We start from the raw sequence: 26,623 nt of genomic DNA, 5'->3' as shown, positions 1-26,623 counted from the left end.
CAGGCTGGCACCTGTGCATAAACCGAGCGTGAGAATCAGGTGTCTGCGGGCCCCTTTCTTCTCAAACGGGACTCCTGAGGTTTCGCAGAGGAGACAGGGACTTGGGGACCTTGGAGGGAGGGACACAGTTTAGAGTCCAGTTCACACTGGAGGGTGGGTCTCTTACCAGACCAGTGTCCCACATTGACGATGAACAGACAGAAAACCTGAGTTTCCGGGAGGCTCATGGTGTCTTTGACCCTGGTGCCTCCTGGGTGACTGTGTTGTACCTGCACATGCCTCCAGGACAATCGGGGCTAGAGTGGGTCAGGAGAAGTTCCCTCTGGACGTGACCGCGCATGGCTCTCGTGGTCCAAGCGGGGTTGAAAACAGCTACCCTGGGGCCAGGGAGGGTGCTGTCAGCAGGAAAGACCAGGGAGTGGAGGGATGGGGAGGCTCCTGGACCCTCAGCGGCTGCTCAGCTCCAGCCCTGCCCACATCCGCCTTTCCCCGGGCTTGGTCCATGCGGATACAGGCCCAGTGTTGCAGATCTTCTGAGTTTTACGTGAAATTTCTTAACATTTACAGCACCACACAGGCAAACAACACATCTGGGGCCTCCAGTTCACACCCCGCCTGACGGCCCATCACTGTGTGTGTGGTTAGGGCTCCCCAGCACCTGGGCATCTTCCTGTGCCTGAACTCGCTCCCCCAGCTCCCCTCTCCTGCTGCTTCAGAGCAGCATCCACCTGGGCTGTGCCTCCCCTGCTGGTGCTGCCCCCATCAGAGAGGGCCTTTCTGTTCCTCTGTCCCCAGAGGCCCAGGAGATTGCAAGATGCTGACTGGGGTGCTGTGGTGGGGGCCCCGGTCTGCTTCATCTCTGTCCCACGAAGCCTGGGGAACACAGAGCTGAGCCCTGCAGTGCCCGGCACATCCTCCATTCTTTCCACAGAATATTCCATTCGGCTGTGACCTTTAGGAAGGCATCCATCTGGACATTTGCAAAGTGGGTGAGTGACCCTGTGGCTTTGTTGGGATTGCCATGGTTAACTCAGTGGGCTACAGATCTGTTTTTATTCACTTATTTGGAAACTTGGAAGATTTGGGAGCAAATTCTTTTTGAACTAGCCATCCAACTTTGGAGAAACAATTTATGGATGAAAAGCAGATGTGGGTTTTGTTAAAAGCAAAGTAGCATGTTGAGTTCTCTTTTTAAAGACATTTTAATAACAGAAAAGCTGAAAGGGATGCTACAGCAAAAGCATGCACCTATTGTTCATAATTTATAATTATTAATATTTATGTTCACATTAAAAATTGCAACAAGTAAGACATTGTAGAGGATGCCAGAAACCCCGTGGCCCCTCTGCTCCGAGAGGCAGTGACCGTGGTGAGTGCTGTGTGACTTTCTTGTCCATTTATGTACATTTTAAATTCATGCACAACATTGAGCATATTGGGGTCTTTATTAATCTTTCCTCTGAGCTCTGCAGCTTGTTTTTCCCTGACACGAGGTTGCCTGGATGCAGCCACGTGTACGTGTCTTTTAGATCATGCCTTTGAACCGGGACCCCCAGGTGTCCTGATCAAACCCCTCCTGGGGCACATGCTGGTGTCTCCACCTGTCCTGTCTCCAGCCGCGCTCAGGAATCACTCTGTGCCCCTCCTCCTGCACATGTGGGATCGGATCCTTTCTCTGTGTAGACACAGACTGCTGGATCTCGACGTTGGCGTGTTGTCATGGTCACTCACCGGCCTGGTGTCCAGGGTAGACTTATCTGTGCAGGAGCTGAGGAGCCATCTGCTAGTTTTTGCTGGCTCCCTTGAGGGGTTGTCACCTCCATGCTGAGATGAGGCCACCCAGGCCTCTGCTCCCCTGACTGATTAGGGCATCGTGACCTGCGCAGCTCCCCGTGGGAAAGTGTGACCTTCCTGCTCTTCATTCCCAGTTGCCCTCTGCATGAGCAGAAGGAGCCCGCAGTGCTCCCACCCCCCCGACTCCTGCATTTGCCTCATTCATTGCATGTTAATCTCTGACCTTACCGTCAAGCAGGGCAGGGCACGATGCACCCACCAGATGGACAGTGATGTGGCCGCCATCGCTGGCTTTGCCAATTCTTCAGAAGGTTCTGGAAAATCAAACCAGATAGTGTCAGAGACAACCCATCTTATGTCCTCTGATGGAGCTATTCATGGGGCTTGCTCCTTTCAACCCCAGGGCTCAAAGGTCCCTGGCTTTGCCCCTGCCCGCCTGAGGAAAGGCCGTGCCGTGGTTAACTGTGAAACTGCCCTGTAGCTGCTGGCACTGACTTGAGGTCACGAGGTCCAGCAGCATCTCCTAGATTGTCACTGACCGCTCTGCTCTGTGGGCAGGTCAGCCGTGGTAAAGCACAGCGGGTGGAGGACCAGGCGTCCTGGGGCAGGTTCCTGTTGGCCGTGCTCGCAGCCTGCCCAGGCGTCCTGGGGCAGGTTCCTGTTGGCCCCGCTCGCAGCCTGCCCAGGCGTCCTGGGGCAGGTTCCTTTTGGCCCCGCTTGCAGCCTGCCTATTGCTGTTGAGGCTGCTGTGCAGGAATCTCCAGGCTACAGGAAGGATTCTTGGATGCTCCTACTTGTGGGAGATCCAGGTCTTCAAGGTCCTCTTGGCCGTACACGATGCCCACCTCATGGGCTAACTTCAGGACCCAAACTGAGATGGTTTGACAAAAACCAGAAAAGAGAACCAGAGACTGTGGCTGTTCTCCCGAGGGCCAGGGGGCCCCATTTCCTCAAAGTCCTCCTATATCCTCAGGGATGCTGGCGGGCTCCCCTGTGACTGCCCTCTCCCCTCTCCTGGGGAGTTCATGAACCTGGAAGGGGACACTTCTGTCTCCCTGGTCCTGGCCACATAGCGCCCACCTTTCCCGTGACAGCCACGATGCCCATGGAGAGGGAAGTCTAGCCCCAAGGAAGTTTGAACTCGCTGCCACGGCCCGAGCCAGCACTCCACACAGGCAGCTCCACCCGGCCTCGGCCTCTCTGCTTTGTCTCTGAGCCCCACAGCACGCCGGTCCCCTCCAGGGGAGCTGACACAGGTATCGTGGCAACAGCTGTCCCACTCCTGATGGGGTCCAGGACGATGTTGCAGCCCCCCTGGGTCAGGCTGAGGCCCTGCCTCCTGCACACGCTGGGTCCAGGGGAGGATGCCAGGGCCTGTGTGTGTGTATGTGGGGGGGGGGTGGGGCGGGGAATGAGCTTCCACTGAAAGGGGAGGCGCAGGCTGCGGAGTCTAGGCTTCCCCCACCCCAAACTCAGACAGCCAGGGATTGTCCTTCTCACAGAGGGAGCGTGATTCCTGTAACTCAGGAGTGATTCACGGTCGGCTGTGAATCACAGAGGCTGAGAAAAACCCTCAAGCTATCCAGTCTTTGAGTGCAGCCCTGCTGGCTCCAGAACGGCTGCCTTGGTTGGCCTTACTCGGCTTCTGCAAGAATTGGCAGGCTGGGCCCCTGCTCCGCTTGCCCGCAGCCTGGCACGCTCCATCATGTGCCCACACCTTGGTGAGCGAGGGCTGAGCTGCCATCCGCAGATGGGAGGCCTGAGGCCGAAGGCGCGGTGGGTGCTGCCCACACAGCAGCAGCACCACTGATCAGCAGCTCCCAAACTGCCCTGATCACCTGGGGGCCTTTCCCAATTACTGACATCTGCTTCCCACACAGACCTGGGCTATAATTGGTATCAGATGGGGCCTGTGCCTCAGGGATTTAAAACTCTTCCCAGGTGAGTCTAACCTGCAGCAGGGTTGGGAACTGCTGACCCAGGAGTGTGAGGCAGCAGGTTCCCAGGTGATGCTGACGCTGATGGTTGATGCCACACTCAGAACCGCTGCACTAGATCTCTGGCCGAGGCTGAGTTTTGGTGCAGGGTGTAGACGGCATTGCTGTAGACCTGAGGTTCAGCAGGTCTGGGTTTTTGCTGTAGGAACAGCTGCTGAAAATAAGCAAGAATGCGACATGTTGACTGAGCGTTGGCCTGTGTCCGAACAGGCTTCAGGAGTGGGTGCTCTGGGGACCTTGCCTGGGGAGCTCTGGGCTCCTGGAGCCCAGGGTCAGAGGTCTAGAGGTCTGAACTTGAGAGACCAACCCTGTGCTTTGGAGCCAACAGCCACCATGGTGGGTGGAGCTGGTGGGGGGTGTCCGCCTCCAGCCTGAGGGCACTGCTGTCTTGTCCCTGCTGTGGCTTCTGTCACCATCTGCAGTGGCTCCATCTCAGTTCAGCCCGCCGAGTTGGCGTCCCTTTGAAATAGTGCAAAGCAGAACAGTTATTCCTTAAGGCCGTGGCTTCATTCACTTAAGAGACTCACGGAATGTCCACCCTGTGCTGGGCACTGTGTTTGGTGGGCAGGGAGTGTGGGCTGGGTACAGCTGTCCCTGCTATCTGGGACACCCTGGAGGGTGGTGACAGTCCTACAGCTGAGAACAGGGACCGCAGTGGTCACAGCCCTGGCTATGGCCTGCTCCAGCCTGTATGGACACCAGGGAGCTCCTGCCCATCAGGGCCGTGGCCACCCTGCAGGCTCTCGGGCCTGTCTACCCTGGTCTCACCTCCCTGATGGTCCCTGGGCCCCGGTGCTGCCACTGCCCCTCCCCAGATGTAGCAAGAGAAGCCTTCAGGGTGATACAGAGGCACATCTGGGACGGGGAAAAACATGAACATCTAAGTGAGATGTTTTCACAGAGGCCTCTTGGAGATTTCCTGGAGGGCTCCATGTTGCTGAGAGAAGAGGTAGGTGGGAAGAACTTCTGTAAACAGGAAGCAAAAAAGAGCAAAACCGACCACTGAAATGCCAACTTCAAACGGAAGGGCAGCCCCAAGCTGACATACCCTCCCTGATTGCAAAGAGGGTCTGGTCACGAGGGGAGGGGAGAGGAGGACAGGGAAGGCGGCAGAGCATGGCTGTGCAGAACCTTCTGCGTTGCCCTGCCTCCCTTCTGCCTTCCCCCTGGACCCGAGGTGAGGATTTGGAGGGGTCCACAAGTACAGCCAGAGGCTGAGTCTCCCCACGGCCAGGCCTCCAGTCCTCCCTAGGTTCAGCTGCAGGTGGACGGAGCAGAATTTTAGCCTCATTTGTCACCAGATCTCCCTCCCACCCCTGGCCGTGTTTGGGCTTCGGAATTCCTAGAAAACCTGAGGAGTTGATAAACTAGGTTCCTGCTCTGTTTAATTCAGGGTCCTCATCAAGGCTCACCAGGCTGGGTTCTGCTGGAGAATGGCTCTGTCATTTCTGGGAGATTCGCTTAACTCTCTGCTTCACGCTCTTGAACCCCAAAGCCCTTTGCTTGGACAGGGTCAGGCTGGGCACATCCTGCCAGCCAGAGGGCCCTGGTACAGTCTCATCTGTGAAACCAGTTGTCAGAGGCGTTTGAACCAGAGTGACTGCATTTTGAGTAGGGGCTGGGTGAAATAAGGCTGAGTCCTGCTGGGCTGCATTCCCAGGAGGTTAGGCATTCTAAGTCACAGGATGGGATAGAAGGTCAGGCATAAGTTACAGGTCACAAAGGCCTTGCTAATAAAACAGGTTGCAGTAAAGAAGCCAGCCAAAACCTGCCAAATCCAAGATGGCGACCAAAGTGACCTCTGGTCATCCTCACTGCTTGTTATATGCTAATTATAATGCATTCACTACTAAAAGACACTCCCACCAGCACCCCGACAGTTTGCAAATGCCATGGCAATGTCAGGAGGTTACCCTATATCGTCTGAAAAGGCAGAGGAACCTTCCAGGAATTGCCTACCCCTTTCCCAGAAAGCTCATGAATAATTCACCCCTTGTTTAGCATATAATCAAGAAATAACTGTAGAAATAGTCAACCAGCAGCCCTCAGGGCTACTCTGCCTGTGGAGTAGCCATTCTTTCATTCCTTTACTTTCTTCATAAGCTTGCTTTCACTTTATGGGTTCACCTCGAATCCTTTCTTGCATGAGATCCAGAACCCTCTCTTGGGGTCTAGATTGGGACCCCTTTCTGGTAACACAATGGGTGACATGTAGTAGTTCCTCTTGGCTTTTCACGAAGTGAGGCTGGAGCTTTGGGATTCCAGTTCTGCACCTTGACCACGTAGTCTTTTTCTTGAAGAACGGCTCCATAGAGGAATATTCTGTCTGCCCCAGCCTCACTCTGATTGCACTGAGGCAGCGAGCCCCCTGGGGGGACAAGAATGAAATCGCTTTGCAAAAATTATATCAGTGAGAAAATTGTGGCAGTGGGGGAGATCTGATCTAGTTAACCTCCATTTTGCCTTTAGCCTTCAATTATTCCTGGGCTTAAGCCAAGCGAATGTTGGGAAACATTTAGTTTATAGTTTAAATGATAATAAGTCCTTCCCCCAAACTCAACTGCCTTTGTAAAGCTAATGAGAGACCACCTGGCTGGGAGGATAGAGCAGGCTGAATTCTTCTAAGGTGTAGACATAAACCATTGCCAGCCATTATTCCAGAGGTCACAAGACATGCAACTCCCCAATTACTCCTGCAGATAACATTACTATTGTAGGATGTAAGATTGGCCTTTTCAGATATCTTTTCAGGTTTTTTGCATGTCTGATGACTGACGGCTCCATCTGGTCCTGCCAACTGCTCCTGTGGCCCCACCCAGAATCGAGTTAGTAAGCAAGAAGATCATTTCCCATGCTCCTATGATTGCACCCCAACCAATAGGCAGCAAGCACACATTGCCCCAAAGCCACCCCCACCCCTTTCCCCAAACTAGAAGAACGCATTGGGCGGTTCCAAGAAGCTCTCCTCATGGGAGACCTGAGCCCTCTGGCTGAAAATGCATGGCCAAGTCACGCTGTGACCCACAGGCTACATCTAATCCATGGGTCTTCATTATTCGGCCTACCCATTTTTTATTCATTGCTAACATTAACATTTGAGACAAAGCTAGATTTATAGGTTCATTTGAATAGTGGAGCAGTGAGCCACCCCTGGGCCACATCAGGATGATGGGCTGGAGCTGAGGGGCAGTGCCGCCCTCTGGAAAGGACATGTGCCCTCCGGCTTACTGCAGTCTCCACCACTCCCTGTGGTCACTTTGTTCTGTCTGGTAGCATCGCCCTTTTTTCTCTGTCCAACCTGCGTGATTCATTATGTGTAATTACCTGGACCCTGTAAACATGTGATTTGTCTCGAGGCAGTCTGTTCTACCCTGATGTCAGAGGTGTTCGAACCAGAGCAACTCCATCTTGAGTGAGGGCTGGAAAATGAGGTTGGGACTTACTGCGCTGTGTTCCCAGAAAGTTAGGCATTCCTGGCTTCTAGATATTTACGGTTAAGGGAACAAATTAATAATCTTTACTAAACAGACCCAGACTTAGAAGTGTGCAGATATCCCGATATCTGCAGAACAAAGGCATTCCTAATTTTGCTTTAAAGATAATATCAATTCTTGCAAAATGTAGTAATTAAGAAAATTAATCCTTTATCACAAACCCTTGTAGCAGAACACATCTCCCCATATATACAAGCATTGGACCTAGGGTGGACGCCTTCCTCCTCTTATTTTTAGGAACGCCCTACTCTGTCTATGGAGTAGCTGTACTTTCCCCGCTTTCTTAATAAACTTGCTTTTGCTTTGCACTGCAGACTCGTCCTGAATTCTTTCTTGTGTGAGATCCAAGAACCCTCTCTTGGGGTCTGGGTCGGGACCCCTTTCCTGTAACGCTGGCAGTTGAAATTTTAGCAATTGATTGACCTTAGCCACATGAGAAGTGGTTACTGATGGTGTCCACATAAACAGCCTTGTTCTATTTGCATGGGGATTACGCAGTGAAGAGAAGTGTTTCTAACCCCGAGAATGCTTTTGAGTCAAGCAAAATCTTTACCATTAGGCCATTACAATCCCTATATTCCCCACTATAAGAGATGAAATTTAAAATTAGTTGGTACAATTTGAGCTAAAGATTACCTAGATCTGACATTTGTTAAGGAAAAAATGTTCATATTAAAAACAGATATGGGCCAGGCATGGTGGCTCACACCTGTAATCCCAGCGCTTTGGGAGGCCAAGGTGGGTGGATCATTTGAGGTCAGGAGTTCAAGACCAACCTGCCCAACATGGCGTTAACTCATTTAGAATAAATACAAAAATTAGATGGGTGTGGTGGCATGCACTTGTAATCCCAGCTACTTGGGAGGCTGAGGCAGGAGAATCGCTTGAACCTGGGAGGTGGAGGCTGCAGTGAGCAGAGATCATGCCACTGCACTCCAGCCTGGGTGACAGAGCAAGGCTGTCTCAAACAAACCCCCAAAAAACCCATGAATTCAACAAGGTTGCAGGATACAAGATTAATTTACAAAATCAATTGCCTTTCTATACACTTGGAATACAAAATAAAAAATGAGTTTAAGAAAATAATTCCATTTATAATAGCATCAAAAAGAATAAAATAATCAAGACATAAATTTAACAACAAACAAGTATAAAACATATACTTTGAAGACTACAGAACATTGTTTAGAAAAACTTAAGAACTAGACAAGTGAAAAAGCATCTCATATTATTGAATCAGACGACCTAATATTAGGATGGCAACACTCCCTAAATTGATCTACACATTCCTCACAATCCCTATCATTATCCCAGCTGACTTCTCTGTAGAAACTGACAAACTGATTCTAAAATTCATTCAGGATTTCAAGGGATGCCGAATAGTGATAATTACCTTGAAAAAGGAGAAGGAAGTAGAACAGCCCACAGCTCTTGCTTTCAAAACTTACCGTAAAGCAGTGGTAATCAAGACAGGGTGGTGCTGGCACAAGGATAGACATCAAGATTAATGGAATAAAATTGAGACTCCAGAAATAAAATCATATATCTGGGGCCAATTGATTTCCCATAACGGTGTCAAGACCACTCAATGGGGTAAGAATTGTTCTTTCAACATACGGTGCTGGGACCACTGGATTTCCACATGCCATAGAATGTAGCTGGACTCAACCACCCACCATACCCAAAAGCCAACTCAAAGTGGATCAAAGACCTACCTGTCAGAGCTAAAACTATAAAACCTCTTAGAGGAAAACACTACTGATGTTGATTTGGCCAAAAGTTCTTAGGTAAGGATTAAAACCATGAGCAACAACAACAAAAATGAGCCACAAAAGAAAAAATAGATAAATTGGATTTCATCAAAATGGAAAACCTTTGTGCTTCAAAGAACACCATCAAGAAAGTGGAAGGCCAGGCATGGTGGCTCATGCCTGTAATCCCAGCACTGTGGGAGGCCAAGGCAGGAGGATTGCTTGAGGCCAGGAGTTCAAGACCAGCCTGGGCAACATGGTGAGACCCTGTCTCTATATTACAAAATATATATATATATATATATATATGCATATATATATATGCGCAAATCCTACCATAGAACTCTTTTGATTCAATAATAAAAAGTCAATCCAATTACAAAATGGGCAAAGGATATGCATAGTCATTTCTCCGAGGAAAATATATACATTGCCTCATTAAATACACAATAAGCACATGAAGAATGATTGGCACCGTTAGTCATCAGGGAAATGCAAATCAAAACCACAGTAAGACACCACTTTACACACACTAAAATGCCTATGATGAAAAAGTCAGATAATAACAAGTGTTTCTGAGGATGTGGAGAAATCCGAATCCTCACCACCACTGGTGGGAGTGGAAGATGGTGCAGCCACGTTGGAGAACAGTTTGGCAGTTCCTCAAATGGTTAAACATAGAGTCACCACACCACACAGCAACTCCACTCCTAGTTACATACCCAAGAAGAAGCAAAACATATGTGCACAGAAAAACCTGGACACCAACCTTCAGGGCAGCTTTATTCATAATAGTCAAAAGCTGGGAACAACCCACATGTCCATCAAATAACAAATGGTTTAACAAAATGTAGTACAGGAGCCCCTCCTTATCTGAGGTTTTGCTTTCTGAGGTTTTAGTTACTCATGGTCAATCACAGTCCAAAAATATTAAATAGAAAATTTCGGAAATAAACAAGTCATAAGTTTTAAGTTGCACGCCATTATGAGTAGCAGATAAACTCTCTCACCGTGCCACCCGCGATGTGAATCATCTCTCTGCCCAGCGTACCCTGCTGTATGCTCGGTCTGCCCACTGGCCACTTAGTAGCTGCCTTGGTCATCAGACTTACTGTCTCGGTGTCGCTGGACTTGTGTCTTCAGTGCTGGTGTTTAAGGAACCCTGATTTTACTTAATGAACAGCCAGAAGCACAAGGCTAGTGGTGCCGGCGATTTGCACATGTCCAAGAAAGCCATAAAGTGCTTCCTTTAAGTAAAAAGGTGAAAGTTCTGTACTTAATGAGGAAAGAAAAACAATCACATAATGAGGTTGCCAGGACCTACAGTAAGAATGAATTGTCTTTCCATGACATTGTGAACAGTACATTGTTATAATTGTCCTGTTAGTGGTTATTGTTGTTAATCTCTTACCTCGTGTCATTTATAAATTAAACTTTATCGTAGCTATGTATGTATAGGAAAAAAGCAGTGTGTATAAGGTTCAATACTATCCATGGTTTCAGGCATCCACTGGGGGGTCTTGGAACTTATCCCCTGCAGATAAAGGGGGAAGATTGTGTATACATACAATGAAATATTATCCGGCCATAAAAAAAAGGATGTGGTGGCTCATGCCTGTGATCCCAACACTTTGGGAGACTGAGGCAGGAAGATTGCTTGAGACCAGGACTTTGAGACCAGCCTGGGCAACACAGCAAGACCCCATCTCTACAAAAAAATAAAAAATAAAAAATTAGCCAGGCGTGGTGGTGTGTGTCTGTAGTCCCAGCTACTCAGGAGGCTGAGGTGGGAGGATCACTTGAGTCCGGGAGGTTGAGGCTGCAGTGAGCTGTGATTATACTACTGCACTCCAGCCTGGGTGACCCAGCGAGACCCTGTCTCTATTAATAAAAAAAGGTAATGAAATACTGGGGGCCAAACACTCCTGAACAGAGAGATTCCTGGAATTATTACCTCCATGCTCCTCAGTCTGGGGTCCCTCTGCTCTGGTATCACATTCCAGGGGGTGAGTGGCCAGCCCGAGTCACACATCCACCACTTGGCTGCAGGCAGGGGTTGCCATGATGGACAGTTCCTGGGTGTGTCCAGGAGAGGAAGGTCACTTCTCCCAAAGCAAAGCCAGGAGGAGTGGACGGGAGAGAGCAAAAGGAGCAGAGGGCCAGGGCTGGAGCCCGTTACAGAAATCCTTCAATGAAAAAGGTCTGGGGAACTTCCAGAGAGGCCGACTGCTTGCAGATTCAGTCTTTGTCCTGCAAGAGACAAAAGAGTGAGAAGCCAGCTGGGATCCCTTCCAGAAAGGGGCTCGGGAGTTCATTCCAAAGACAAATAAATGAAGGGCAACTTCTCAAGCTCTACACCCGCCCTCATGGCCTTGTGAATGGGATTATATGTGAGAATCCCAGTGTGTTGGCTGAACTCCTTCTCCAGGGCATCTCGGGGCATAATTAGCAGAGGAGGGCCAGCCTCCCTCACAGGGCACCCCACCTCGGACTCAGGGGAGCATCTGAGAAGTTCTTGGATGCGCCATGGAATGGACGGGGTGTGCACTGGCCTCATGTTCTCGTGCTGGACGCTTCTCAGGCTCCCATGTGAAACCTCCCATGAGGATTCCTTACAGTACAGATTTTGATTCAGGAGCTCTGGGTGGAGCTTAGAATGCTGTATTTCTATCAATCATCCCAGTGATGTTGATGCTGCCTGTCCAAGCCCACAATGGGGAGTGAGGTCCCATTGCGTGCTGGCAGCAGGAGGGGAGGCAGGTCTGCAGCAGCTCCAGGTGTCCATTACCCCAGCTGGTGGGCCCAGAGTACTGGGAGAGCATCTTTCCTCCAGAGCCCTGTGTCTAAATCCCAGAGAAGGGCTCTGATTGGTCCTGTTCTTCCAGAACCCTGTGCCTACATCCCAGGCAAGGGCTCTGATTGGTCCTGTTCTTCCAGAGCCCTGTGTCTACATCCCAGGCAAGGGCTCTGGTTGGTCCTGTTCTTCCAGAACCCTGTGTCTACATCCCAGGGAAGGGCTCTCATTGGTCCTGTTCTTCCAGAGCCCTGTGTCTACATCCCAGGGAAGGGCTCTCATTGGTCCTGTTCTCCTAGACCTCTGTGTCTAAATCCCAGGGAAAGGCTCTGATTGGTCCCATTCTCCCAGAAACCTGTCTCTAAATCCCAGGGAAGGGCTCTGATTGGTTCTGTTCTCCCAGACTTCTGTGTCTAAATCCCAGGGAAGGCTCTGACTGGTGCTGTTTGAGTGCTGTGCCTTAGGGTAAACTTCTGTGGCAAAAGAGAAAGGATGATAGCGGTGGTTGGTTCTCACCAGAGCCTCTGGGGTGGGGAGAGGCTGCTCCCCAAAGGAAAGGGGCAGCTGGTCCTAAAAGACACATGGCCAGGTGGTGCTGGGCCAACAGATGAGCTGTGCATATTTGATATCTGCTTTTAATGAGCAAACAGAATACACTTTAGTGACCCCAAAGAATGTTTCAAGAAACTGAAGCCAGTATACCTCAGGGATATTGTGGGTTTGGTTCCAGACCACTACAGTAAAGCGAATACTGCAATAAAGCAAGTCACATGAATATTTTGTTTTCTCAGTGCATATAAAAATTACATTTACAAGATACTGTAGACTGTTAAGTGTGCAATAGCATTATGTGTAAAAAACAATGCACATACCTTAATTAAAAATACTTTATTCCTAGAAAATGCTAAGGTTCATCTGAACCTTCTGTGAGTCCTGATCTTTTTGCTGGCGGAGGGTCTTGCCTCAGTGTGAATGTCTGCTGACTGATCAGAGTGCTGATTGCTCAGGGTTAGGCTGGCTGTGGCAATGTCTTAAAATAAGACAACAATGAAGTTTTCCACATTGTTTGACTCTTCCTTTCAATAAAGATTTCTCTGTAGCATGTGATGCTGTTTGATAGCATTTTACCCACAGTAGAACCTCTTTCAAAATTAGAGTCAATTTGCTCAAACCATGCCACTGCTTAGCAACTGAGTCTGTGAAATATTCTAAATCCTTTATTGTCATTTTAACAATGTTCACAGCATCTTCACCAGGAGTAGATTTCATCTCAAGAGACCAGTTTCTTTGCTCATTCATAAGAAGCAACTCCTCATCTGTTCAGGTTTTCTCATGAGACTGCGGTGATTCAGTCCCATTTTCAGGCTCCACTTCCAGTTCTAGTTTTCTTGCTATTTCCACTACATCTGTGGTGACTTTCTCCACTAAAGCCTTGAGTCCCTCAAAGTCATCCATGAGGGTTGGAATCAACTTCTTCCAAACTCCTGTTAATGTTGTTATTTTGATCTCCTCCAATGAATCGTGAATGTTCTTAATGGCATGTGGAGTTGTGAATTCTTTCCAGAGGTTTTCAATGTACTTTGCCCAGGTTCTTCAGAGGAATCACTATTGATGACTATGGCAGCTATAGCCTCATAAAATGTATTTCCTTTTTTTTTTTGGTTTGAGATAGGGTCTCATTCGGTTGCCCAGGTGGGAGTGCAGTGGTGTGTAATCATGGTTCACTGCAGCCTCGACCTCCTAGGCTGAAGCCATGCGCTCACCTCAGCCTCCCAAGTGGCTGGGACCACAGGAACATGCCTGTGAATAGCGAGGCCTGCTGTCTTTCTCATGCCTGGCTAATTTTTAATTTTTTAAAATAGAGATGGGAGTCTCTGTGTTGCCCAGGCTGGTGTATTTCTTGAATAAGACTTGAAAGTAAAAAAATTACTCCTTGATCCATGGGCTGCAAAATGGATATTGTGTTTACAGGAATTAATCTTCTTGTACATCTCCATCAGAGCTCTTGAGAGACAAGGTGCATCGTCAATGAGCAGTAGTATTTTGAAAGAAATCTTTTCTTCTGAGCAGTAGATCTCAACAGTGGGCTTAAAATATTGAATAAACCATGCTGTAAGCAGATGTGCTGTCATCCAGGCTTTGTTGTTCCATTTACAGAGCACAGGAAGAGTAGACTTAGCATAATTCTTCAGGGCCCTGGGATTTGGGGAATGGTAAATGGCCACTGGCTTCAACTTAAAGTCACCAGCTGGATTAGCCCCTAACATGAGTCAGCCTGTCCTTTGATGCTTTGAAGCCAGGCATTGACTTCTCTTCCCCCACTGTGAAAGTCCTAGATGGCATCTTCTTCTAATAGAAGACTGTTTTGTCTACACCGAAAATCTGTTGTTTAGTGCCGCCACCATCCATGGCCTTTACTAGATCTTCTGGATAACTTACTGCGGCTTCTCCATCAGCAGTCATTGCTTCACCTTGCACTTCTATCTTATGGAGATGGTGTCTTTCCTTAAACTTCGTAAGCCAACCTCTGCTAGTTTCCAGCTTTTCTTCTGCAGCTCCTTCACCTCTCTCAACCTTCATAGACTTGAAGAGAGTTAGGGCCTTGCTCTAGATTGGGCTTTGGCTTAAAGGAATGCTGTGGCTACTTTGATCTTCTATTCAGACCACTAAACCCTTCTCCATATCAGCAAAAAGAAAAGCCTTTTTGCTTTCTTATTCATGTTTTACTGGAGAAGCACTTTTAATTTCCTTCAAGAACTTTTCATTTGCCTTCACAGCTTGGCTAGCTGTTCGGTGTGAGAGGCCTGGCTTTTGGCCTACATCATTTTGCTGTTTCTTCATTAGCTCAAACCCAGAACTGGACCAGACCTAGCCACAAGGAATGCTGGGAAATGTAGTCTCTCCAAGGAATGCTTGGACCAGGACCGACTCCTGGTCAGGGGTTGCAAACCCACCTGCCCTCTGAGATCAGACAGGGAACATAGAACTTTGAAGTGGCTGGGTACAGGAGGAGGCACAGGGGGAGTGGGGGGCAATGCCTGACCTATTGAAGAGCATGGACATAAAAAAGGATTGAGGCACTGCTGAGTGCAGGCAAAGCTGTTTGAGAGCTGGACCCAGCACCCGGCGGGTTGCTCACCAGGTCTGCTTCTGTCAGTGATACTCCGGTTTCCAAACCCCACAGCTTAAATACCCGTGCCTAAAGGAGACATTTCATGAACTGTGGCATGCACGAAGGTGATGGGGACAGCAGCCTCTTAGGGCGTTGGTTAAAGCCAGGTGATCGTTTTCTTGGTGGAAAGCCCTGTAAAGGGGGTCCCTCTAACCAAGGTCTGGGAAAGCAGTGGCTCTTCTAGGAAAGGGTCCCACCCCATGGGCTTCCTCCCATTCCCCTGCCCGCTGGTACCCTGGCACCTCCCCAGCCAGGCTCATTGATCACAGTTACTGGGGCTGACTGTAGCACAGCCCTGGGCAGCTTAGGTGCATGGAAAATGGGGTGGGGCTGTGTGACCACCGAGCTCTGGAGGGGCGTGGGTGGTGCATGGCTCGAGCTGGAGCTTCCTGGGGCAAACAGATGAATGCAGTGAGGCTGAAGGACTTCAGTTTGTGTTAGAATCCCCAGAAAAAAATGCTGTGGGGATGCAGAGGGATCAGGCCTGATGTTTCTTCCTCCCTGGCCAGCTCTGCTTGGGGCCTTCTGCGTGGCATCCTCTGGCCCCCACTTTGAGATATGGGTAAGCACACATGCACACAGAGAAGCACACACATGTGCACAGATGCACACACAGGTGCATACACACCCATACATGGATGCACACACATGCACACAGATGCACACAGGTGCACACACATGAACACCCATGCACACACAGGTGCACACACATGCCCACACAGGTACACAGACACATGCACACACAGGTGCATACATACACACACAGGTGCATACATACACACGGATGCACACACATGGACACAGATGCACACACAGGGGCACACATGCACACACATGCCACAAATGCACACACGTGCACACACATGCACACACAGGTGCACACATGCACGCACACATGCCCACAAATGCACACACAGGTGCACACATGCACACACACATGCACACACAGGTGTGCACACACACAGATACACACAGATGCACGCATATATGCACGTATATCACACAACCCACAAGCAGCAGTGAATTCAGCTGATTGAGCTGGCAGGCTCCATGGGGCTCACCTCATCCTTGTCTCTGTGGTCAGGGGCACCAGTTTCTTGCAGCTTGTCAGACAGGGTCACAAGGCAGTGACCTGTCATCCCAGTCCAGCCTGAACCTACTGAATTTGGCATGTTCAGGAAGAACCTGGACCAGATGTCAACACTTACCATGTGATTTCTCCAGGTAAGCAGTAAGGCTCAGCACTCTGGGCTCTATTCCTTCTTGACAGCCCTTGGCTAGGTCTGAGGACTTCATGTCACCAAAGCAGCCCTGGTAGGAGACTGCGCTTGTGGCCCCCAACACAAGCTCCCTACAAATGGATTGCTGGCTGGTTCTGTGAGTCCTGCAACCTCCATCTGTCTCCCTGTCAGCTTTCTCTTAATTAATTTCATCAAGAGCCCAGGAACTGCATCTTTCACTCCAACTGGCTTGGAGCTAGCTACGAGCCAAAGTCAGGTAGTCTGCAGGTAGCTGGGCTCCCTCAACCTTCAGTTTTTAATTAAAGAGTTGGAGGCTCACCCAGAGCATGACGAAGCCTCACTGCAGGGAGGGCCCCTGGAAGAGAGCAGCTTCTTCCCGTAGATTTCACCCTGGCCTTAATCCAGCCTTCAAGCAATCTGAAGCTGGTGGCAGAGGTGCCAAATGGTCACCTTCCCCTGATTTTCTGTCAGATGCCAGGCCCTGTCAAGAATGTGCGGTGAGTAGGGGTGAATGACAAATATCCTCCTTCCTCCAGAAGCCCACGAGGAAGCCAGGAATGGAGCTAAGGATAAGCATTTGAGAATTTAAATACCAGAACAGCATGCATGAGTCCCAGATCACAGAACATGGAAATGGAAGAAAGGGATTCGTTTTGTTTTTCTTTTTGTGATGCTGGCTGATTTCTTTTAGTAGCTCATGTTTAACTGGAAGGTGGAATTAATCACAGTCAATTTGGATCCCACCTTCGTCTGAGGCCACATCTTAGTTCCAGGAGGCTTAAGTGCACAGTGCCAATGAACAGGAGAGGCATCAGTCAGAATAGTCTATGCGGTGCTGCAGTAACACATAGCCCCAGCAGCTCACTGGCTTAAAACCTTTTTTCCCTTGCACACACTTCCATGTCTTTCATGTGGATTCAGGAATGATATGGTTTGGCTGTGTCCCCATCCAAATCTCATCTTGAATTGTAGCTCCCATAATTCCCACATGTTGTGGGAGGGACCCAGTGGGAGATAATTGAAACATGAGGGTGGTTTCCCCTATACTGTTCTTGTGGGAGTGAATGAGTCTCATGAGCTCTGATGGTTTTATAAGGGGAAACCCCTTTCGCTTGGTTCTCATTCTCTCTTCCCTGCTGCCATGTAAGATGTGCCTTTCACCTTCTGCCATGATTGTGAGGTCTCCCCAGCCACATGGTACTGTGAGTTAATTAAACCTCTTTTTCTTCAGAAATTACCCAGTCTCAGGTATATCTTTATCAACAGTGTGAAAATGGACTAATACAAGGAGGCTCCACTCATTATATGAAAAGCCCCAATGAAGAAAGCACAGGCTGATCCCTCTGAAAATTTTCTATGTTTAACGGAGGGAGAAAGCTTAAACTCTGAGAAGCATATTTTCAATAAAATGGGACCAGGATCCCCAAATTTTATACCCAACCTTGTTAGGCATCTCACAGTTCAGAAACTGGTAGTAGAGAAAAGTGGGTGTGGATTTGAGTTGGGTAACAACAGAAAATGTTATGATATGAACTAGTGTCATACATCAAATGTCTTAGTTTACATATACCTGGCCAGCCATACATCCTCATGAGGAAGGCACTCATCATTTTTCCACAGTGAGACCATGGATGCCCAGAGAGGTTTGGCCAGTGTTCTAGGCTGCACAGCTGGCCTGGGTTGCCCCAGGAATAGAACTGGGTGTCATCTGGCCTCAAAGCCCAGGCTGTTCCTGCTCGCTGTCTTCTCCATTCTGCTACCCCTCCCCTCATCCTCCTACCTGGGAACTTTTTCATCTTAAAAACCCCCACACACTCACTCACCCAGACTTTGTGGCTCCTGTAGCTTTTTTCAGAGAAAGCAGACAGTGGGGCCCACCCTATTCTTAGGCAGACCCTCTGGTCCCTGCCCATGGCCCAGCCTCACTGGACACAGGGGGAGATGCAGGGGAAGAAATGTCAGAGGAGCTTCTGGTGTTGCCTTTGGGATCTGATGGAATGCGGCAGCTATGAATGCAGAAGAGCCTCCCAGTCCCCACCACTTGCCTACTGATGGGCATTTGGACAGTTCTGCTATTTTGCTGCTACCATCAAGGCCACAGAGAATACTTTTATACCTGAGTTATTGTGCACATGTGGGGGCCTCTCTGTTGAAAAAATTCCTAGCACAGCACCTGGTTCTTAGTGAGTTCTTGATGAATATGGACAAATTTATCTAAATCCAGCTGTGATTAGCAGGGTCACACAGATAATTACTTATTTTAGATGTATCTATTGGATTCTCCTCATTCTTATCTGTCATCCTCCTCAACCACGTCATCACCATCACCGTCATCATCACCATCACCAACATCACCACCATCATAATCACCATTATCACCACCACCGTCATCATCCTCACTATCATGATCACCATCACCAACATCACCACCACCACCACCATTACCATCATCACCATCACTACCATCATCATCGCCACCACCACCACCATCATCACCATCACCATCACCATCATCACCACCATCACCACCATCATCACCATCATCACCATCACCACCATCATCATCACCATTGTCACCACCATTACCATCACCACCACCATCATCACCATTGTCACCACCATTACCATCACCACCACCATCATCACCATTGTCACCACCACCATTACCATCACCACCACTATCATCATCCTATCATGATAGTCATCACCAACATTACCACCATCAGCATCATCACCATCATCACCATCACTACCATCATCATCGCTACCACCACCACCATCATCACCATCACCATCACCATCATCACCACCATCACCATTGTCACCACCATTACCATCACCACCACCATCATCACCATTGTCACCACCACCATTACCATCATCACCACTATCATCATCCTATCATGATAGTCATCACCAACATCACCACCATCAGCATCATCACCACCGTCACCATCATCACCATCACCATGATCACCATCACCACCATGATCACCATCACCACCATCATTACCATCACCACCACCATCATCACCATCATCACCACCACTATCATCATCTTCACTATCATGATAATCATCACCGACATCACCACCACCATCATCATTACCAAAGCTATCATCACCACCACCACCATCATCACCAGCATCATTACCAAAACTATCATCACCACCACCATCATCACCAGCATCATCATTAGCACCATCATCACCACCATACTCATCATCCTATTATGATCGTCATCACCAACATCACTACTACTATCACCATCATCACCATCATCATCACCATCACCACCACCATCACCATCACCATCATCACCATCACCATCATCATCACCATTACCATCATCATCACCATCACCATCATCACCATCACCATCATCACCACCACCATCATTATCACCATCATCATCACTCATCACCATCATCACCCTCACCATCATCATCATCACCACCACCATCATTATTATAGCTATTACCATTATCACATTCACAATGGACATCTATTGGGCACTTTAATTTAGAGGATGCTAAGAACTTTGCATGCATCATCTTATTTAATCTTTCCAATAATCACTTGTTGAATGAATCAATTCATCAAACCACCAGACATCAATAGGGACCTTAAGAATTATTTATCTTAGGCCGGGTGTGGTGGCTCACACCTGTAATCCCAGCACTTTGGGAGGCTGAGGCAGGCGGATCACAAGGTCAGGAGATCGAGACTATCCTGGCTAACATGGTGAAACCCCGTCTCTATTAAAAATACAAAAAATTAGCTGGGCGTGGTGGTGGGCACCTGTAGTCCCAGCTACTCAGGAGGCTGAGGCAGGAGAATGGCATGAACCTGGGAGGCGGAGCTTGCAGTGAGCCGAGATCGTGCCACTGCACTCCAGCCTGGGTGACAGAGCGAGACTCCGTCTCAAAAAAAAAAAAAAAGTTCTTTATCTTAAATACTGTATCTGTGATAAAATTTTTCCTCCTCCTTCATCATCCTCCCACGAACATTTGTTGAGTTCATATTGTGAACCAAGAATGATAGGTAACTTATTTCGTTTTCTCAGTAATGATTTGCAGTAAGGACTGTTGTCATTCCCATTTTATAAATGAGGCAGCTGAATCTCAGAGAGGTAAACTCACTCATCCCCACATCACCCAGCTATGGAGGTTGGTAGAGCCTGGATTTGAACCAGGGAGTCTTGTTCAGAGACTGGGATCAAATAGGACCATGTCACTGCCTCCCAGACAGGCCACTAACATTCTGGCCTGGCCATTCAACCTTACAAATATTATCTTTCAGCGTGTCTGGAGACCCCGAATTAGGAAGATAGTGAGGAAAATTCATGGTCATGAAATCCTGGTATGAAAGAATGTTCTTTTCCATCTTTACCTTTAATCTCCACGGCTAGAGCTTGGGAAATGTGTATGGGCTGCGCACATGTTCTGATCTGACACTAAGCTGGCTTATTAAGCAGACGACTCAGGTTTTAGGTACAGACATTTTAGCATCTTGCCAGGAATCTCTGCATTTCATTTTCCCCTTTATTACAATTCCATATTTTAAATCAAGGTAGGACTTGAGAGGGCCTAAAATTGTCCTCGCTACACAGGATGGATGGTGTTTTAGAGAGAACAGAATAAATTCCTGGAAAAGATGGAGACAAAAAAATAAGCCACATGTGAGCAGCTCAGGGTGGTCTCTAGAATAATTCTCATGTTCACAGTGGTGAGACCTGCAGCTGTAGTCTGCGAGCATGTGGTCCTTTTCCATGCCTGTCTTCTTTGCCCTGATGCTCTGGAGGTCCCGTACTCAATCTCCAGAGAGGGTCAAGCCTAGAGACTCTGCAGGACTCGAACTCATTAGAGTCCCTCGTTAAGTGAAGGCTTAATGTCTGTACTTGTCAAGAACGGGTGCTGGCTGAGTCTCACACTCTGCTTTGCTCCACAGAGGGAGGCCTCTATGCTCTCAGGGGTTATTTGCAGTATTTCCAGAGCCTGTCACTGGGGCCAGGCTGCACGTCTGAAATCCTGGAGTGTGTTCACAACGGACTTCAGGGACCGGGTTCTCCAAGAACAGGGCCTCAGGGGCATCAGCTTCCTCCTGGTGAGGCAAACTTGCCGGCTCAGCTCTTTGCATCTGCCCAGGTACCTGCTCTGCACCGGAAACCAGTTTCCTCACAGGGCACCATGGCTGTAGCCATAGGTCCACTCTAGATCCTGTGCTGGGACTCTTGAGCCTTCCACTGGCCATCAAGTTGGGGAAGTTATTTATCAAGTTATTTGCTAATGATTTCCTGAGATGGGGTGACACCAGTTCATTGAACTGACAGGCACTCATTAATCATGCTGCTGTTAAAACAATAAAATTGAAAGTGCTTTCCTGTCAAGCAGATAGAAAAGTTGCCACATTTTTGAAAAACAGGACGGCAATCATAAAACACATGTACCCTGGAAGGCAATAAGCAAGATGACATTTTATCGTGTTACGCTGCTGGTATTTGGGTACCATTTCCCCTCTGTTCCCTAGACTTTTTGTAATGTCGTTGTTCCATTCAACATTTAAAGCAAGCACATTTTTCAGGCCAGGGAAGCTCCAGGAAGCTTCTTTTCTAGGTAATTAAATCAGATACTCAAGAGGTCGCCTGAAGCTGATTCTGCCACCAGAAGCCCCTGGAGATCTCCAGCTTTGAGGCCGCCAGGCCCTGGAGCCGGGAGCAACCTTCCTTTCTCCTCACTTTCCTCCTGCTGCCTGGAGGGGCCAGGCTGAGGCTTCCTCCAGGGCGAGCGCCCTTGGGTCAGCGGGACCCTTGGTCAGGGGTAGCACCCAGAGCTGCACGGCCTGGCAGTGCTCAGTTGGTGTCTTCGGCTCCCCCTCCTTATTCCAGGAATCTGAGACGTGCAATTTCCTCACTGGGAGCTGCTTTTCTTGAGCGTCCTCCTGGGGGAGAGGCTTCGTGGGCAGAGAAAGGAGCTGGTCCTTTGCCATCTCTCCACCTCGCTCCTGGCCTTCCTTGCCGGGGGAGCAGAGGGCAGAGGCTCAGGGCGGCAGCACCATACATAGACCCTGTGGACGATGCCCCACTTCCAAAGCAGCCAGGAGTGTGTTTTCAGATTTAGAAGCAGATTCATAGGGGCCTGCCTCAAAGTTCATAAGGGCGTGTGGAAGCGGGCGGGGCTGTATTTCCGTGTGTGCGCCAGAACAAGCTCCCCCAGCACCTGTGGTGGGAAATGCCACCTTCCTACGCCCTTGTTTGAGAGTCATGAGACACATCAGCCCATAAACAAGCTACACGGTGTTCTCTGGAGGAGAAAGTGGCCCCCTGTGGTTAGGCCCAGTCCATAAACACCTCCAGGCTACACGGTGTTCTCTGGAGGAGAAAATGGCCCCTTGTGGTTAGGCCCAGTCCGTAAACACCTCCAAGCTGCACAGTGTTCTCTGGAAGAGAAAGTGGCCCCCGTGGTTAGGCCAGAGTTCCCAGAGCTGTTTTTAAATGTGGATCCTTTTCTTGGGGGTGATCCAGATCAAGTTTGAAAAACTTTATTCTTAAAACCTTTATTCTTAAAACTAGAGCTTTCTTCCAACTCCCAGTCCTCAAACAGACTCTTACATGGCATTGCAAAGTATCAGGCAGATTTATTTGGTTTTAATTCAATCTCGAGCGGTAGAAACAACACAAAGCAGCTTTTGCAAAAACTAGAATTTACTGGCTCATATAACAAAAACATCCGAAGTGATGGCCTCAGGGATGGCTAGATCTAGAGGCTCAAGTGACAGTATTAAGATGTTGTTTTGTTCCGTCTCGCAGATCTGATTTCTCATTTGTGCCTTGGCTGCCCCCAGTGATACCAAGATAGCTGCCTGGATCTGAGTCTCACTAATACAGCTGTCCCTCAGTATCCTCAGGGGATTGGTTCCAGGAGCCCCCAAGGATGCCAGAATCCATGGATGTTCAAGTCCCTTACATAAATGGCATAATATCTGCATATAATGCACACACATCCTTCTGTATACTTTAAATCATCTCCAGATTATGTATATACCTGATACAATGTAAATGCTATGTCAATAGTTATTACACTGTACTTAAAAAATTTGTGCTTTTTATTGTTGTATTATTTTTTATTTTTCTTTTTTGAAAATTTTCTGTCTGTGGTTGGTTGAATCCACAGATGCAGACTCTTGTAGACACAGAAGGCCAACTGTATTTGCATCTTCCTAGAAAGCCCAGAATTCTTCTTTTTTGACAGTTTCAGTGAAATTCAGGACAGAGTCTCACTGGTCCACCCAGGCCTACGTGTCTGTCCCTGAGTCTATCTCTGGTAAGGACTGTGATGATGCAGTTAGCCAGGTGTGAGTCACACGACCATCTTAGATCCAGGAAAGTGATCAGTTGCGCTAAACACATAGAATGATGAGATGGGTGGGCTCACCAAGGAAAACGAGGCTCAGTCGTTGGGGCAGGGGGACTGCATGCAGATCCAGCCACACCAACAGATGCTCATCGTTTTTCAAGTTCCAGATAATCTCGTCTTCTCCTACCTCCTCCTCGTGTCTTTAGACCAACTGGTTCCCTCCTCCATCACTGCAGGGCCACATCTGGCCCAGGTCGTTCATTGTCATGCATACATTATCCCTTGTGTTGTGTGTGTGTGTGTGTGTGTTTCTTATCTATCTGATTAGATTCTAAGCTCTTTGGAGAGCCGTATCTTCTTTCACATTTGCTCTGTGCACACAGTGTATTAGCTCATAGTGTCTGTATCCATCAAGCGTTAAGTTCATTCTCAACCCAGAATGAGAAAAAAGGAGAATGATTGAAAGGCGACTTGAAACAAACCAACGTAATTTTCTGTTCTGATTTTTTTTTTTCTCACAGATTCTCATCTTTCAGTCTGTATCATTTCAATATCATCTGCTACAGAGAGGCAATTAGATAAGGAAACAGGAGTTTCCGATCACCCCCACCCCCCGATGGCCGTGACTTCCACGGGTAAGGTCACATCAAGGTCTGAATGTTCATGACCTTGGTCCAGTGCATTGTTCCCGTGTGGGAGTGGGGGTGGTGTATAAGGCTGGTTTTTCCCAGGCCCTGGACAATAAGGACTAGAAGGACTGAGAAACAACTCCAGCTCTGCTCTTCCCAGAAACAGATGTGGTCACACATGGAGCCCAATATCATGACCTTGTAGCCCTTTTCTGGGCAGTCAGCACAGTCCCTGGTACACAAAAGCTGCCCAGTAAATCACAGCCATGTGAGTATATGAATGCACAAATGATATGGTCTCTTGTGCACCAGGCAGGTGGTTCCTGTTACTTGGTTAGGAGGGGAAGGTAATCTATGGGGTCTGAGGTCTGTGCTGCCATTTTGAAACTGCAGCTGATAGGTCCATAGTTGAATCAGGAAGGGAATGAGATGGTGGGGGTAGGGCCAGGTGAGGTGTTCAAGCTCTAGAATGATTATTTCCCTTCCTTTTTGGAAAATTAAAAAAAGCTTTAGCTCAAATGTCTTTAGGAAGCTGCTGCCAGTTTCAGGCAAGCTGAGGAACCACTGAGTGGAATCATGAAAGGGACTCATTGAGAGTGCTTGAGACGAGAAAGGAAGTTGGGCATTTTCACAGCTTCAGGATGAGACAATATTTCAGCTGAATAGTGAAACTGGGAGAAATCCAGCCTTTTCCACGTTGGTGCAGGTTCCCTGAAGGCGAAGCATTTGTAGAAGGCAGTGTCTGAGCGCACAGTGAAACAAGCGTGGTTACGCAGACCACTGTTCTGGCCTTCCTTTCATTCTGGATGCTGTTAGAAGTTGAGGGACTAATTAGAAGAAGAATGTTCTCCTCAAACACAGCTCAATGGCATTTGTTCCCTTTTATCCCATCTGGAGCTTGGGGATGCTGGACCCACAGTCCTGAGTCCAGGGTCTGACCGTAATACAAGCCTTTTCCCACCCTCGTGCCCGAAGGCCAGGCAGCACCAGCCAGGCTCAGGAAGCTCACCAGGTTTCTGAACAGGATAGAGTGTCTACCAGAAGCCCCTCGTCGACTTAAAATTCTGCATGAAATGCTGGAAAGCACAATCTCTCTCTTTGCAGAAGCATCCTACTCTCCGGAGAGCCTGGTTTGAATCGCACCTTTGCAGAGGTACCATTCAGACTTGCAGTGCATTTTCCTTTTAAACAGTGCATCCTCAGATGAGAGGTTTCTCCTCTCCGTGCTCTGGGCATCTTACAGGTGCTGTCATCTGTTCGGAGGCACTTAGTGTCTCCTGGTCTGGGAGGTGTCGGGGAGGAATGTGGGCAGAGGGGCAGTGTGCCCCTGAGTGCTCCTGGGAGTCACTTGAGCTTTCTGGGCCTCAGCTTCCTCATCTGCAGGATGGAGTGGCCACAGCACCCACTTCGGAGGGCAGCAGGGGATAAAGGGAGATGATGTAGCACCTGGGGTCGAAGTGACGCGGGGCAGGCCCGCTGCTCAGTGAGTGGTCACCGGGGGGGTAAATTAAGGCAGCCCCGTGGAGACACCACGTCGTGTGCTAGTGAGGGCTGCGCCACGCACCTGTCCAGAGCCCAGGCATCCTGAAGCTATTCCCAGATCCAGGGAGATGAGATGTCCTTAGGGAACCCCAGGCTCTTGGCAGTTCTGATGCTCTGGAAATGAAATTGTAAGGAGCTGGCATTCTTGCCTGAGTTCCGGGAGTCACATCCCATCAACTCTTGCTGGTTAATTTCACTTCAGACTAAAACTGCCATCCATCCTCCCCCAGTTCCAGAAACCTGTTTAGGAGTCTCTGAGAAGCTCCCCTCACTGGAGCCACAAAATCCCATCTCCACATGCAGTTTTCTCCTGGCTTGTTTGATGCGGCTGAAGCGCTGGCCACAGCCTTGCAGGAAGCCTCCTGGAGTGGAGACAGTTGTTAAAGGGCCTGAATAAATCTGTTCTTGGACAACTATTAGATTATTTCTGGTGGATGGTAGTTACATCCAGAGAATTTGAAGTGGTGACGGTTATGTGTTTGCATACAAATCTATGATAAGGCAACTCGACCAATTCTGCCACATATACACGGACATTTATTAAACTCTTTATTAGGAGGCAAACACAGAATGGCCAATATCAAACTCTTCTGTAAGCCCAGAAAGATCCTGATCTTCTTTAAACCTGACCCAGCTTCCCCCTGCCAGAAGGGTTTACTAGAGGAAGGAAAAGGGAATTCCTGGGGCAGGGTCTTTACTCCTTGGGCAGCACCATGCTCAGACATCCTCTGATCCACAGGCTGAACAGAGGGCTGTGTGGGGACCGTGCGCACAGGCCACCAGGCCTGCTGGTTCCTCTACCTGCACATTCAGGGTTGGGGGCATGTCCCAACATATATGAGAAAGTCCCCTCA

General features: G+C 48.7%; 1 long non-coding RNA gene across 1 annotated transcript, besides 4 other annotated features; it reads left to right on the top strand.

Annotated features, from left to right (window-relative positions):
• Positions 1-813: 813 nt before the first annotated feature.
• Positions 814-24,233, top strand: LOC124903056 (uncharacterized). Its single transcript, XR_007063534.1, has 2 exons — positions 814-989; positions 24,120-24,233. It is a non-coding gene; the product is annotated as an uncharacterized LOC124903056 (long non-coding RNA).
• Positions 1,892-2,392: an enhancer, noted in NCBI's record as "H3K4me1 hESC enhancer chr12:132041197-132041697 (GRCh37/hg19 assembly coordinates)". NCBI's record gives its function as "activates a minimal SCP1, AML or CMV promoter by ChIP-STARR-seq in naive H9 embryonic stem cells {active_cell/tissue: H9 hESC(naive)}" and the evidence as "EXISTENCE:reporter gene assay evidence [ECO:0000049][PMID:30033119]".
• Positions 2,393-2,893: an enhancer, noted in NCBI's record as "H3K4me1 hESC enhancer chr12:132040696-132041196 (GRCh37/hg19 assembly coordinates)". NCBI's record gives its function as "activates a minimal SCP1, AML or CMV promoter by ChIP-STARR-seq in naive H9 embryonic stem cells {active_cell/tissue: H9 hESC(naive)}" and the evidence as "EXISTENCE:reporter gene assay evidence [ECO:0000049][PMID:30033119]".
• Positions 6,028-6,646: an enhancer, noted in NCBI's record as "NANOG-H3K4me1 hESC enhancer chr12:132036943-132037561 (GRCh37/hg19 assembly coordinates)". NCBI's record gives its function as "activates a minimal SCP1, AML or CMV promoter by ChIP-STARR-seq in naive and primed H9 embryonic stem cells {active_cell/tissue: H9 hESC(naive and primed)}" and the evidence as "EXISTENCE:reporter gene assay evidence [ECO:0000049][PMID:30033119]".
• Positions 22,173-22,755: an enhancer, noted in NCBI's record as "H3K4me1 hESC enhancer chr12:132020834-132021416 (GRCh37/hg19 assembly coordinates)". NCBI's record gives its function as "activates a minimal SCP1, AML or CMV promoter by ChIP-STARR-seq in primed H9 embryonic stem cells {active_cell/tissue: H9 hESC(primed)}" and the evidence as "EXISTENCE:reporter gene assay evidence [ECO:0000049][PMID:30033119]".
• Positions 24,234-26,623: the final 2,390 nt, after the last annotated feature.

The sequence above is a fragment of the Homo sapiens genome, chromosome 12 (genome assembly GCF_000001405.40).
Source record: "Homo sapiens chromosome 12, GRCh38.p14 Primary Assembly".
Classification (NCBI taxonomy): domain Eukaryota; kingdom Metazoa; phylum Chordata; class Mammalia; order Primates; family Hominidae; genus Homo; species Homo sapiens.
This window is presented reverse-complemented; position numbering and strand designations above follow the sequence as displayed.